Below are 12,550 nucleotides of genomic sequence, written 5' to 3' on the forward strand. Positions count from 1 at the left end.
ATGGGTGCAGCACACCAACATGGCACATGTATACATATGTAATAAACCTGCACGTTGTGCACATGTACCCTAGAACTTAAAGTATATATTAAAAAATCTACCTCAGAGGGTTGTCGTGAGAATTAAATGAGAAAATATATAATATGCTCCTTGCACAGGACCTGTCTCAATAGGTACCCCAAAATAGTAATAGATCTTCTTGGAAAATAAGGCCAAGTTACCTGGGTCAAACTACCTAAGTCTTGGAGTTCTTCACTTTTGTATGTCAATTAAGAAATGTTATGTGGTCGGTGAAGGATTGGTAATACTTACAAATATAGCAAACTACTAACGTTCCTTCACACGCACTCAGGTTTAACACAACACCCAATGTCTAAGCACTGCATATGATCAGATAGTATGGTCTACAAGATAATTCATTCACTGAAGTTTTTCAAGAGTAATTTTAGGGCTCAGTATATGGTCTATTTTCAAAAGTGTTTCATATGCACTTGTGTGTGTATTCTTCCAATTGGGTGCAGATTTTATATATATATATGTGTGTGTGTGTGCGTGTATGTGTGTGTATGTGTGTATTTTAGATGTATATGTATATGTGTGTGTGTATATATATATACCCATTATATTGAGTTTGTTAATCATGTTGTTCAAATCCTCTGTATCCTTATTCATTTTTTGTTCATTTTACCTATCAATTTCTGAAAAAAAATCAGATTTTATAATTTCTGCTTTTAGCTCTGCCAACTTTTGCTTTATACGTTTCAAACTTATGGTATTAAGCATATGCAAGTTTAGAATTGTTATCTGAAAAAAAAACTGAACTGTTAATCATTACACAGTGATCTGTTTATGCCCAATAATGGTTCTACCTTAAAGTCTGTTTTGTCTGATATCAACATAGCCACATCAGTTTACTTCTGGCTAGTGTTTGCATAGTGTACCTATTCCAATCCTTTTTGTGTGCTTTATGTTCTTATGTTTTACCTTTGTCTCTTATACACAGCATATAGCTGGATTTTTTATTTTCATCCATTGTGATAATCTAGGTCTTAACTGGTGAGTTTAGTCAACTCCTATTTATTGTAATAACTGAAGAGTTGGCTGCCATGATCAAAGAGCCCTTTAAAAGTATTTCTGGGTTGTATGATGTAACTTGGTCCCCCTAGTCAATTTCTAAATACTCTTGCTTGCATTGACTCTCCTGTAGTAAGTTAGCAAAAACCCAAGGATCTTTATGAGTAAATTGAAGCTAATACTATACTGAAGATTTGCAGTTATTAGTACAGTTATGGGAGAAAGTCAATTAATGCAAGGAATGGTGCACACAGGCCTAATCCATTTGAGGTAAATCAATACACCGCACATTTCAATTGCTCTGTATTCGCACAGAACAGTGCATGGAAGCAACTCATTAGAACTAAACTCTTCATAAGAAACAGACCAATTCTCTCAGACTCACTAGGGCATCTCCACTAGTAAAATTTAAAAAGCAATCAAACTGAATAAGAAGTCCTCTTTGCAGACACTTACATTGGGGAAGAACAAGATTCTTGACAATTCAGAGTAAATGAAGTGCAAATTATTCTCTTATAATATAACTCAGAATTGAAGCTTAAATTGTGACTGAAAAAGAGCCCACAGTTTAATCAGAAAAATACATTTATTGATAATTCCCATGAGCTCCTATTTGATACATTTATATCATAGGATAACAAGTTCGAAACTATTGCCAAGTTATAAATATGGAATTTATGCACAATTTGCATGTATTAAATTGTATTTTGAATCGGCGTGTGTGCCTATATTTGAATATTTATAATATTCCAGAAAAAGCACAGTGGAATGTGCAAGACAGATTTATTTAGTGTAATGCTCTGAAATGTGTCAAAGTCTTCAGCACAGTTTTTAGAGGCAAAATGGCAGAAATAACAAATGGGATGCAATAAGACCAACTGAATAATCTGCAAAGTTCAATACCTAGTAAATGAGAAAAGCTCTTTTGCCAATAAATATTTTACTAAAGTTTAGACAAATATTTATCTAAGCTTACAAGGACACTGTTTTAGAGGACATACGCCATTAAGTGGATTATTCATTATCCTTTAATGGAAAGGGGGAAATTCCCATCCATACATCTCTTTTTAAACTCAGTGACTAAATACCTCATTTCATGTGTCACAGAATGTTAATATTAGCTTTTCAACTGTGAGGGACATTCTTTACACTGTCAAAACAACTTGTACCTACGGTGTAGTTTCAGTGGAGTTTCAACAATAAGATTATGCACCTCACTATATGTGCATAGAGTGGTCCCTCAGATATTGGAATAGTTGGACAATGACATTTCTAATCAACTTTATTTATGGTTAACTGGGGGTAATACTCTTATGCAGTGAAACTTCTCTAGGGGGCGCTGCTTAGCAAAGTGAACTCTCCTTTTCTGCTGGACGAGAGCAACACATACACTAACTGATCTAAGCTCCCAGTTATGGATGTTTAGAACTATAGCCCTTTACCAACCCCAAGATTTTAACTCTTCCAGCCAGACCATCAGCCCTGGTGTCAACTCACTAAGAAAGAAGCTCATGGAGATCCAAAGTCCAGACTATCTCGGATGGCTCTGGCTGAGCAGAATAAGCTTTATATTTCCAACTGTGTACCACTATTAACTTCCTGTTCCATATAATTTATAAATTAAAATTTATAATTTATAAATGAGAAAGAAACAATAGCAATTCACTCAAGTAGCTCTATACCATACTGGTATAAAAAGAGTTCCATGCATTGTGTGGGAATATGATAAAAGTCAGTTATCGAAAATCAGCAGCCAATGTCTGACTCATCACCTCTGCCTTTCAGGGTGAGGGTTTATTAGGGCTGAGGCTACTCTCCTCATTAAAGGCTCCCAGGATATCAAGAGGCTAATGAAATAACCAGCCAGGAACCAAAAAAGTAGACCTGTGTGCAATTAATCACAGCTTAGTAAAACATTATTTTAAAAATTGTTAATGCTTATTGTTATTATATAAGTAATGTAGACTCAAAGAAAACTCAAAACCTTCAGAAAAGCAGAATAAGAAAATAAATCACTAATAGATCTATTTATATTCTATTATTTTTTTCTTCCAGTCTCTGTCTTTTATGCTTAGATTTGGGAGGGGTAGGAGATGATTTCTCTCGCTCGCTCGCTCGCTATCTTTTTTTCTTTAATATAATTGTAGTCGTACTGGGTCCATAATTTTCTATCTCTTTTTCTCTTAGCATTAAATCACTAGCAATTTTCCATGCTCTATCAAAGGACATTTAAGTGGTTTTGTAATAATCTTTCAAGTGGATGTACTGAGATTTCTTGAACCATTCTTCTCCATGTGGATGTTCAGATTGTTTCCAATTTGTTGCACTTATGATAACTCCAGTTAGTCTCCTAGTATGTGTTCTCATAGCATCCTGTACTTTTCCCCCATGGCACTTCATATAATTTTAAGTAATTGATAATTTGTTTTCTGTCTATCTTTCCCACTCCTACGAAGGCAGGGACCACATCTACCTGGTTCTTCCCGGTAACCCCAGCACATAGCACAGGGATACCAGATACTCAATAAATATTTGCTGAATCAATAAATAAATGAGTGAATGAATGAAAGCATGTATAAAAGTATGTTTTTCTGCAAAATCCCAGAAAAGAAATTATGGGTCATAGAAATAAATATTTTTATATTCTGTGTTTACACTATTTATTTCCAAAAAGATCATTCAAGTTACATTCCCACTGACAATGTATGAGAATTTTGATATTTACCATGCCCTTGTCAGCACTGTCTACTTTTTTTGTTTGGTGGTGATATATGTTGGGTTTTGCTTTGTTTGTTTGTTTGTTTTAATCAGGGTTAGAGAGGCAAAAAAAGTATTCTATGTTTAAATGTGCATTTCTTTAGTACCAGTGAAATAAAACAGTTTTTCCATGTCTGCAAACTAGTTGGGGGTCCTATGTTGTAAATTGTCTGGTCATGTCCTTTGATTCTCTAATCAGCTCGTGAGAGTTCTTTGTACAGTAAAGATTTCAACTTTGTGTCTGTTGTAATTGTGCATATTATTACCAGTTTGAAACCTTTTCGTTTTGGCTTTTTTTTGACAGATAAGCATATCTTATTCTTATGTAATCATAACTATTGATCTTTTTTCCTTTATTCAAACATCCTTTTCCTTGGCTAAGAGTCCCATATGTGAATTGCAGCTATCACTTAAATAACAACGCCAATTGTGAATTCAGATTAACTGGGTCCACAGATTCCCACATATAATGTACGATGGAGCCCTAACCTGCCCCAGAGCCCCAGTTGTCACCTCCTTATAAGTCCTGTCCACTAGAAATCTAGGCAACAGGAACCAGTCATGACTTCTTAGTACTCTCCAGCCCGAACCAGATCCCCTTCTCAACCTCTCTGTTTTGGTGGCTGGTACCACCTACATTCCAGACTAGATATCAGGGAGATAGCTTTACCTAGACTCCGACCTTTATTTACTTTCATGGTGTTTTTGCACTCTTTCCATCCAAGAGCTTCTCATACTTACTGGGGTTCCTCATTGCCATTCAAGTCCTCCACAGTGGAGCCTAACCCCATCTACTTCCCTAACCATTATTACTCCAAGCATGAACCTTTCGGGTCTGGCCAGACCTGCCTAGGTGAGGTTGCTGGACCTCAAAAGGTCATGAGGACTCCGTGCCCACCCACAATGCCTCCTTTCTTCTTAATACAACTCTCCTACTCCCAGAGGCCTTCTCAAAAGGATGTCTCCTTTTTCTGGCCTGTTCCTCATACTTTAGAAAGGAAAGGGCCCTGGAAAGCATGTCATTTAAATCTCCAATTTTATAGATAAGACACTGAGACCAAGGGAAGGAAAAGGGCCTGTCCAAAATCTAAATTTCCTCTCCCAGCACCTGTCTACATGACATAGTCCTGCACTTCACATGCTAATCTTTATGGACTTGAGGCTGAAGATGGTTATCTTGGCTTTTTTGGTTTCTTCTTGGCTCTAATCTCCCCACAACTGCTAGCACCATGCCAGAGACATAATAGTTACTCCATCTGCTTTGCCGATTAGACCCAAACTACAACATAACAGATGGACTTTTGTCTATTTTTTGTATATTCTGGTAAATGTATGACATTTTAAAGACATTATTGATTTTCAAATTGTTTTCAAACAAAATCCATTTTTTAATTAAATATCTAAAGTACTAAATTGTTCTGTTCTACCATAAGCTCTGTGAGACAGAGAATGATGTCTCTTCCCTGGAATATAATGAACAGTTTCACAAAATCTTGCTTAATGAATGACAGAAAAAAACGGATGGCTATTCTTTTAATGTCATTACATACTACCTCAGTTGATGACTGATATCCATGAAAGACAAGCTCTAGCATTTTAATTGCCCCATAGCACTGATCTAAAATTATTATTAAGTGATGTTAATTCTGAATAGCCTTTTGTACTACCTGAGAACTTACAGCTTTGTAAGGACTCCAACACCATGTTCGACATCCATGCAAAGATGCTAATTAATACTACTGGAATTCTACAGATATTGTAATGGTAGATTTCTCCCCCTCTTCTATGAAATAGCTAAGATGGTACCACAGCTCTCAAAGACAGCTGAAGAAATGTATCCTCAGCTAAGTAAAACTGAGCCCAACAGCTTAGAGCCTGATGAACCACACGACCAGTACTGACCACTGGCTGTAACAGTCCATTCTGCTTAATGCCTCAGCCTATATCACAAGCCTGTTGTGTCATTTTGCCTCACTGCAAAATCAAGGAGAAGAAAGAGGGAAAGCGTGGGCTTGTGAGGCATGATCAGGTACACACACTCTATAGTTACAGCTCTTTCAAAATAGAGCCACCTTTTAAAAACAAATGGGAATAAAAGAAAGCTTTTCCCACAATTAAAAAAAAATAGAATGACCAAAAAAAGCTTTTCTCCATCTAAACAAACACTTTTTAGTCCTTTCCCATCAATGATATGCTACTGGATTTGAGATGATAATTAATTACTCTTCCAGATGCCTCAGCCTGCTCCCATCCTGCTCAGCTTTGCAGGGATTCCCAATATGGCAATGAAAGGCCCCTCTGCAATCTAGCCACAAGACCTACCCCTGGTGAATAAAACACCTCAGGGATGTAGAAATCTGTTCTTCTCCCAATGGGTGTGGTACCCCCGGCCCAATCACTCATCCAAACTGAAAATTTTAGAGATGCTAAAAGTCTAGGGTACAACATGAATATGATCAGATTCTTTGACTTGTATAGCCATGGACCCTGACCTCTCAACCCCATTCTGTGCATGCTGGCCAGCATGATACTTAGTGATGAAGAAGGGGGCTAGTGCTATTTCTTTGGGCCCAGTTCTGAATTCCCTCTACAGAACAAATGGCACACTAGAGTTGGCTACAAACAGAGGAAATTTGGCCTAAGAAAAGCCTGCAGAATTTGGGACTTTTAACAGCTTGTGAGCAACAATGTTTGGATACACTTTCAAAAATGGTCTCAGAAATTCTAAAATGAGCAGGACCCTGAGTGACTGCAAACAACATACTGGCAGACAGATGGATGAAATCCAATTTCTGATTTTTTTTAAAGAAATATTATTCTTAATAAACAACTTGAGCCTTTCACCAGCCAAGCTCTCTCTCTCTCTCTCTCTTTGTCCTCTCCAGGCAACGTGATCACGGTTGTTTCTATTCAGCAGTTATATATCACCCAAGCACTTAACCATCCGCGGAGGCAGAGAAGCATCCCAAATGTAGCACTGGAAGCAGGATTCAGAGTCTTGGCTTGCAGCCACAATAGCCTCTGATACCTCCCTAATGTGGATGAATGGCTGTGAGTCAGTAGGTGGTTCCTGTCGCAGCTGAAGGCTCCTACTGAAGCTCATCCAACCAGGCCTCAGCCCGCTCCCATCCTGCTCAGCTTTGCAGGGATTCCCAACATGGCAATGAAAGACCCCTCTGCAATCTAGCCACAAAACCTATCCCCAGTGAATAGAAAGCCTTAGGGATGTAGAAATCCGTTCTTCTCCCAATGGGTGTGGTAATCCTGGCCCAAAAACTCATCCAAACTCACATGTTGTAAAATGACTGACGATGATAATGATGTAGGTGATAACAACAACAGCCAACATTTATTGTGTTCATTCACTTTGTGGGAATGACTAACTCAAGACCTCACTGTGGTTTTGCAAAAAACCCTTGTTCATCAAGGTGCAGTCAACAGAGCAAGGGTTGTGGAGTCAGACAGAAGTGCAGTCAGATTCCTGCTGTGCCGCTAAAAAAACTCAGTGACCCCGGGGAAGCCCTTTAGCCTTTTTGGGCTTCATTCTCATCTGATAAATGGGGATCCTTTTGTCCACTCTGGCCTCTTGCTGAAGATGGTGCAGGTTTACAGAGGAATACCAGAGATAAGGGATATGAACGCTTATCATAAACTGGAGTGCACTCTCTACACAGGATCTGGTCGAGGGTCACATGGCTGGTTAGTGGCTGGCCTAGAACTAAGGCCCAGCTGTCTGAACTCCCAGGCCAGAAAGGTGGAACTGTTGTTCCCCTCAGTTGAGAGGAGCACAGAGACCACCAGCTGGCATGGAGAGGCTGTTTGACACAGGAACTCCCAAAAGCAGACTCTCCCATTTCCAGACACCAGCTTCTCACCCCCACATTTCACCATCGGTGCAGCTGCCTTTACCTCTAAATTTTTGCCTCGCACAGACACATACAACAGTCACATACACACACTCTCTCATTCTCACACACACATGCACACCTTAGCTCTTACAGATTATCAGAACTCACAGAACTGGTCCTGCAACCTCCTAGGGGATCTGTCAACATCCAGAGAAATTCTGGAACCCCTAGGCTATCCCTATTCTTCAAAGTGAATATTTCTGGAGGTGGGCAGGAATGAATGAAATAAAAAGGTGCCCTTGAGGTAGCAATGCATTTCTCTAGCAAGTTTTATTTCATTTTTGCAAACACCGTAAAATCCAGTAACTGTGACTTTTTAGAACATGGTTGCTCTTTGATTAGACTAGATGCTACTGTAGTATCACCCTTTTAATAACCAAGAAAATCCTATGTCATTTCAAATAATTTTGCTTCAATTTGGGACAATCCAAGAGGCTTTGAGGGGTTCTGGTTATCTTCTGGAGAATGCGGGAAGGAATCTGCCAGAGGACAGTAGCCACCAAACAGATAATCTAGACCACATTAATAATGTGTGTTTATAGACATCATACTCTGACCTACATGTTCAAAAGGATCAGTAAAGGCACATGTGCCCCATGGAACTCCAGACAAGGCCATGGCTTTCATGGTGACCAAGACCTTGTTTTCACTTCTCTGCTATAGTCATGGCTGTGGAATTCTACTTTTGCCCAGAAGAGCTTTTTAAATATTACCACCTCTCAATACACCTACAAGGTCTGTCAGTATGAGAAATTCTTTTCAATATTGCCAAATTGTTTGGGAACTTATTAAACACCAGAATATTGTTGTGACAATGACTTACACAATTGTACCAATGGATTGAGGTCCTGGGGCTAAGGTTTTCTTGGGGTGGAAGAAAAAATTTGTTAGTATTGGAAAGGAAATACAAGTTTGGCAGATTCTGACACAATTCCAGCATTTGAGAAAGGACAGTGTAAACTGAGAGAAGAGAGAGTGAAGAGGAGAGCCAGGGGGTGATGTTCCCCTTAAATCTCAATGGTAATCTGAAAGTCAGAGGGCTCTAGGGCTCTATTTGCTGCAGTTGGACAGAAAAATCCACACTGGTTGTTGCGTTCTAACAGTCACCTGCAAAGCATCCCCTTGTCCAGGGTACCAAGTGCACCCGGGGGATGGGGATGGGACACAGACATGTCCTTGCCGGCCCAGAGACCCCATCCAGAGGCCTCCAGGCCATGAAACTCACCTTGTGCACCCCCTGGACTCCCTGCTTCAGCCCAGATTTGTTTTAAGGAGACTTGCGAAACAGTAGCCCTGGCTGGACTAACTGCACCCCATAGCACTCACTTCCCCCACCCCACCACCACCCACTTTACAGTACTGCATGACCTCTAGCAACTGGACATCGCGTCTGGAGGGAGGAAAATACCCTTGCTTCTGGCTACAGACTATTAATAAATCAGCTTTTACCGCATCAGCCCAGGCTCACAGAACATGGGCTGGCAGCGCCCCATGCTGGGGCTCAAGCTTTTTAAATATTTTTTGTAAATCAGGAGAGGCTCCTGGTGACTGAACCCCACATGGGGTCCAGGGCACCATCCCAGCCCGCCCTTCGGTCCGCGGGGTGCCCCCCGCCACTCCCAAAGAGCCACGGATGCCTCTCATGCAGCCAGTAGTGATAAGCAAGCCTGGGAACCATGAGCTCTCCTTGGATGTCGGAAAATAGCGACAGAGGGACACCCAGTCGCCCGGGAAGACCAGAGCCAGAGCGGGGAAGGAGCGAGGTGATAAAAGTCCGGCAAGAAGAGAAAAACAGAAAGGGTAAGAGAGAAAAAGAATAAAAGCGAGAGAGGGGAATGGAAAGAAGGAAACAGCGAGCAAACAGGAGCAGACAACATCTAGGACACAAGAGAGAAAGAGGGAGAACAAGGCAAATAGACGAAATAGGGGGGAAAGCGGGGGGAGGGAAGAATGCGGGCGCCGAAAGGAGGAAGAGAGCGCTGAAAGGAGACTTCGGAACCCGGGTGCAGAGTAGAAGAAAGCAGGGATCCAGAGACGCTGCACGGAGAGCGCGGCTCTTTAGGGCTCTCCAGTGCGGAGACTGAGTACGATGCCCCGTCCCAGCGGCCCCGTTCCGGCCGCTCGGCCGCCTCCCCCGCACGCTCTGCCAACCATCACGCAGGCCACCCTGCGGACAGACAGACGGTCAGTCCGGGGCCGGAGCGGAAAGCCTTTCTGTGGCCGCCACAGCGCGGCGAACGTGCGCTACTGGGCGCCCAGCACCTGCCCAGCCGGGGTGCAAACGCCCGGGCGTCAGGGTGCGCGCTAGGTCCCCGGCTTGGGCCAGCCGCGCCTCCCAGCCCTCCGCCCGCCTAGGCCCGGGTCCCGCTCGACTACCGGCGCGCACTCACCTGGACGGTCTCAGCCTGGCGTCGCGCTTGCCGTCCACCACGGAGGGCACACAGCTGGTGAGCTCGGTCCAGTCGGCGTGCAACCCGCAGCTCCAGCCCGTGGAGAACCTGGAGAAGAGCCAGGTTTCCCGCTTACCCGGCCGGTGGCAAGTGCATTTCTTCTGACCCACGCGGCACTCGCACGGCTGCTCCAGCTGGATGTTACGCACCAAGTGGCGGCCGAAAGTGGTGCCCCCGGTCTTCTGGATGTGCAGGAACACGATCAGGTCATCGCCCTTGATGTCGAAGTCTACCTTGCGCAGGAGGTCGCCGCGGGTGAAATTGTAGCGGGGCACGAACCTGGCGGAGCTCTCATCCTCCGAGCGGTACGGGTCCGGCACCGGGGAGCTGAACGCCTGCAGGCGGAGGAGCTGGCATTCTGTGCCGGGGCACACGTATTGGAGGACGATCACGGCAAATAGGAAGAGCATCACCAAAGCTAGCAGCAGCTTGTTGGATTTCTCATCCATGTTCCCGACGCTGGGGGAAACCCAAGCTCGTTACGTCAATCCCGCAGCTCAGCCCGCGCTCGTCGTGCCCCCGCACCGCCCCCTTCCCCTGGAGCCGCTGCTGCGCCCCTCTCCCCCTCCCCTCCGCACCGAGTACTCCACGGCGGCGGCGGCTGCGGCGGCGGCTCCCTTCCCCGCTTCCTTCCTTCCCGGCAGGCTCAGCGCTGTGGCTTCTGCGGCACACACACACCCCCACCCCGACTCCTTCCCGCGGGCCGTTCGCCCCCTCCCCCCGCCAGAGCTCTCCGGAGCTCCCCGGAGCCCCTCCACGGGGTTTAGCCCCAGTGGGACCCCTCCGGGCCCAGTCGCCCCACTCCTCAACTCACGCCCCCAGTCCGGGCCCCCGCGTGTCTCGCTCCACTCTCGGTGGCTCCCGCTCCCATCCCCATCCCGCTTCGTCCGCCGGACTCTCCGGGCTCTTCTGCCCCTATCCTCTTTGGAGCGCACACCTCTGTCCGGGTTTCTCCCCGCATGCCCCGAAGCCCTCCTTTTGCCGGCGCCCGCGCCCGCTTGCCCACCCGGTAGGCGGCCTCGAGGGAGCTCGGAGCCGGGGGCTCAGAGTTACCCTGGGGGAATGAGCCGGCCGGCAGCCCGACTTGCTATCGGAGACGCTGCGCTGCCGGTGCCCGCGGAACAGTAGCGACGGAGCCGCGGCGTGGGCAAATGCGCGCCGCACCCCTCCGGAGACCCTAGCCGGGCCACCAATGGCCAGCTGGAACTTTACGCCCTTCTCTACCCCCCGCGGCTGCCTTCCCTCCCCGTACAGCACCTTCGCGCCCTGGCCTGGGAGCGCGAACCCCGCTTTCACCTAGAACGTACCTGGCCATGGGGCCGAAAATCTTGGAGAAGATCGCACCGAGCACGTGCTTCAGCGAGTGGCCCAGGGCGGCCAGGCCCCGAGTGAGCAGGGCCCGGCAGAGGGAGCCCAGGTCCCAGCGTCGCCTGAGGACGTGCATCCGCCTGCGGCGGCCCCGGGACAGCAGCGCGAAAAGCGGGGCGCACGCGGCTCCCGCCAGGGAAGAAGACGCCTTTCGGGGCTTGTCCAGGAGCGGCCGGGTGTGGAATCCGTGAGACACACCCCTAGGAGGGCCCGCGCGAACTGAGGCGGCGACCGACCCGGGCCGGCTCGCTGCCAATTCGGCCTCTACTCTGGAATGCCGGCGGGGACAGGTGGTGCGGACGGGCGCTCCTCGCTCCGGTTGCCGCGGCGGCTCGAACTCCCGGACTGCACACGCAGGCAGTGCCATTCCCCCCTTCAGGCAACTCAGGGTACTAAGGATCACGAGCGAGCTTGAATTTATATAATAATGCCTCACGCCTAAGAGCTCGAGCCACTTCACAAGCAGAGAACCTGGGTTTTCTCTTTTCTTGGAGTACGGAGGTCACTCCGCTTAGCGCATCACTCCACTTTGGCTCGTAATTTCAACCTCTCCTAAAATAGCAAAGGCGCAAATTGGAGCTTTTCCGTCTCTCTTTGCCAATTTCCATTCTCCAGCGGAAGCGGGGGCATTTTCTGAAAAGGTAAGTCAGCATGATAAAAAGACAGCAGGACCAAAAAGCATTACAGAATGAGAATCTGACCTTTTTTAGAGCACAGACTGTCTTCTTGCTGAATCCTGTGTACCAAACCCTGTGCCTGCAGGAGGGCTTGACTCATAAAAGGTTTGTTGAATGAATGGATACATAACTAAAAACTCCATCAGAGTGAGACCGTCTAATCCAAGGTAATGTGACACATGAGGAAACTGAGGCCCAGAGAGGGGTAGGGATGTGCCCAAGGTCACACAGCAGAGCCCCAGGGTTTGAACCCAAGAAACCCAGCACCATCCACCTATTTCCTGATACTAACACCACCTTCTCTAATAAATAGGCA

At 45.7% G+C, this 12,550-nt stretch overlaps 1 protein-coding gene and 1 long non-coding RNA gene across 12 annotated transcripts in view, besides 1 other annotated feature; one reads left to right on the top strand and one right to left on the bottom strand.

Moving 5' to 3' along the window:
• HS6ST2 (heparan sulfate 6-O-sulfotransferase 2) overlaps positions 1-12,550 on the bottom strand; it is a 335,356-nt gene that overhangs the window by 320,664 nt on the left and 2,142 nt on the right. For 4 of the 10 annotated variants that reach the window (NM_147175.4, XM_047442618.1, NM_001077188.2 and 1 more), the window contains exons 2-3: positions 11,497-12,190; positions 10,130-10,648 (exon numbers count right to left, since the gene is read on the bottom strand). In NM_147175.4, the coding sequence (NP_671704.3) occupies positions 10,130-10,648; positions 11,497-11,924 (947 nt within the window). In that variant the 5' untranslated portion in view covers positions 11,925-12,190. Of the gene's footprint in view, positions 1-10,129; positions 10,649-10,767; positions 10,833-11,242; positions 11,342-11,496; positions 12,191-12,550 lie in introns of those variants that run through there. The other 6 variants (NM_001394074.1, NM_001394073.1, XM_047442619.1 and 3 more) reach the window with 5 other exon arrangements.
• Positions 10,757-12,550, top strand: part of LOC124905219 (uncharacterized) — a 31,800-nt gene continuing 30,006 nt past the window's right edge. For both annotated transcript variants that reach the window (XR_007068337.1, XR_007068338.1), the window contains exon 1: positions 10,757-12,198. This is a non-coding gene — a long non-coding RNA (uncharacterized LOC124905219). The remainder of the gene's footprint in view (positions 12,199-12,550) is intronic.
• Positions 11,330-11,830: an enhancer, noted in NCBI's record as "H3K4me1 hESC enhancer chrX:132092036-132092536 (GRCh37/hg19 assembly coordinates)". NCBI's record gives its function as "activates a minimal SCP1, AML or CMV promoter by ChIP-STARR-seq in naive H9 embryonic stem cells {active_cell/tissue: H9 hESC(naive)}" and the evidence as "EXISTENCE:reporter gene assay evidence [ECO:0000049][PMID:30033119]".

The sequence above is a fragment of the Homo sapiens genome, chromosome X (genome assembly GCF_000001405.40).
Source record: "Homo sapiens chromosome X, GRCh38.p14 Primary Assembly".
In the NCBI taxonomy this organism is placed as follows: domain Eukaryota; kingdom Metazoa; phylum Chordata; class Mammalia; order Primates; family Hominidae; genus Homo; species Homo sapiens.